Genomic DNA, 1,338 nt, shown 5'->3' with positions numbered 1-1,338 from the left:
GGGGTCCCATCTTTAGCCTCCTGAAAGAAAATAATTGTCAGCCAAGACTTTTATATCCAGCAAAAACTGAGCTTCATAATGGAAGGGGTGATAAAGTATTTTTCAAACAAACAAATAGTGAGAGAATTTGCCGCTACTAAGTCAGCCCTAAAAGAAATGGTGAAAGGATTTCTAAATCTTGACAAAAAACCTCAAAATACACCAAACTAAAACCTCCTTAAAGCATAAGTCTCACAGAGCCTATAAAACAATAACATAATAATAAAAAATGGTATTAAGGCAACAACTAGCATAATGAATAGAACAGTACCTCACATCTCAATACTAATGTTGAATGTAAATGGCCTAAATGCACCAATTGAAAGATACACAACTGCAAAATGGATAAAAGTCCACCAACCAAGTATCTGCTGTCTCCAAATGATTCACCTAATACATAAGGATGCACATAAACTTAATATAAAGGGGTGAAAAAAAGACATTCCACACAAATGGAAACCAAAAGTGAGCAGGAGCAGCTACGCTTATAACACAGAATACAAACTTTAAAGAAACGATGGTTAAAAAAAAAAAAAAAAAAAAAGACAAACAGGGACATTATATAATGATAAAAAGATTAAGTCAACAGAAAAATATCACAATCCTAAATACATATGCATCTAAAAATGGAGCTCCCTCATTTATAAAACAATTACTACTAGACCTAAGAAATTAGCTAGACAGCAACAGAATAATAGTGGGAAACTTCAATCCTCCACTGACAACACTGGACAGGTCCTCAACACAGAATGTCAACAAAGAAACAATGGACTTAAACTATACCCTAGAACAAATTGACTTAACAGATATTTACAGAACATTCTACCTAACAACTTCAGAATCTACATTCTTTCCATTAGCACATGGAGCATTCTCCAAGACAGACCATAGGAAAGATCACAAAATCAATCTCAATAAAATTAAGAAAACTAAAATTATATCAAGTACCCTCTCAGACCACAGTGGAATAAAACTGAAAATTAACCTCAAAAGGAATTCTCTTTTTTTTTATTATTATACTTTAAGTTTTAGGGTACATGTGCACATTGTGCAGGAATTCTCAAAACTATACAAATACATGAAAATTAAATAGTTTGCTCTTCAATGATCTTTGGGTGAAAAATGAAATCAACATGGAAATTAAACAAGCCTTTGAGCTGAACTATAACAGTGACACAACTTATCGAAACTTTTGGGATACAGCAAAAGTGGTGTTAAGAGGAAAGTTCATAGCATTAAATGTTTACATCAAAAAGTCTGAAAGAGCACAAATAGACAATCTAAAGTCACACCTTAAAG

The sequence above is a fragment of the Homo sapiens genome, chromosome X, assembly GCF_000001405.40.
Source record: "Homo sapiens chromosome X, GRCh38.p14 Primary Assembly".
In the NCBI taxonomy this organism is placed as follows: Eukaryota; Metazoa; Chordata; class Mammalia; order Primates; family Hominidae; genus Homo; species Homo sapiens.
This window is presented reverse-complemented; position numbering follows the sequence as displayed.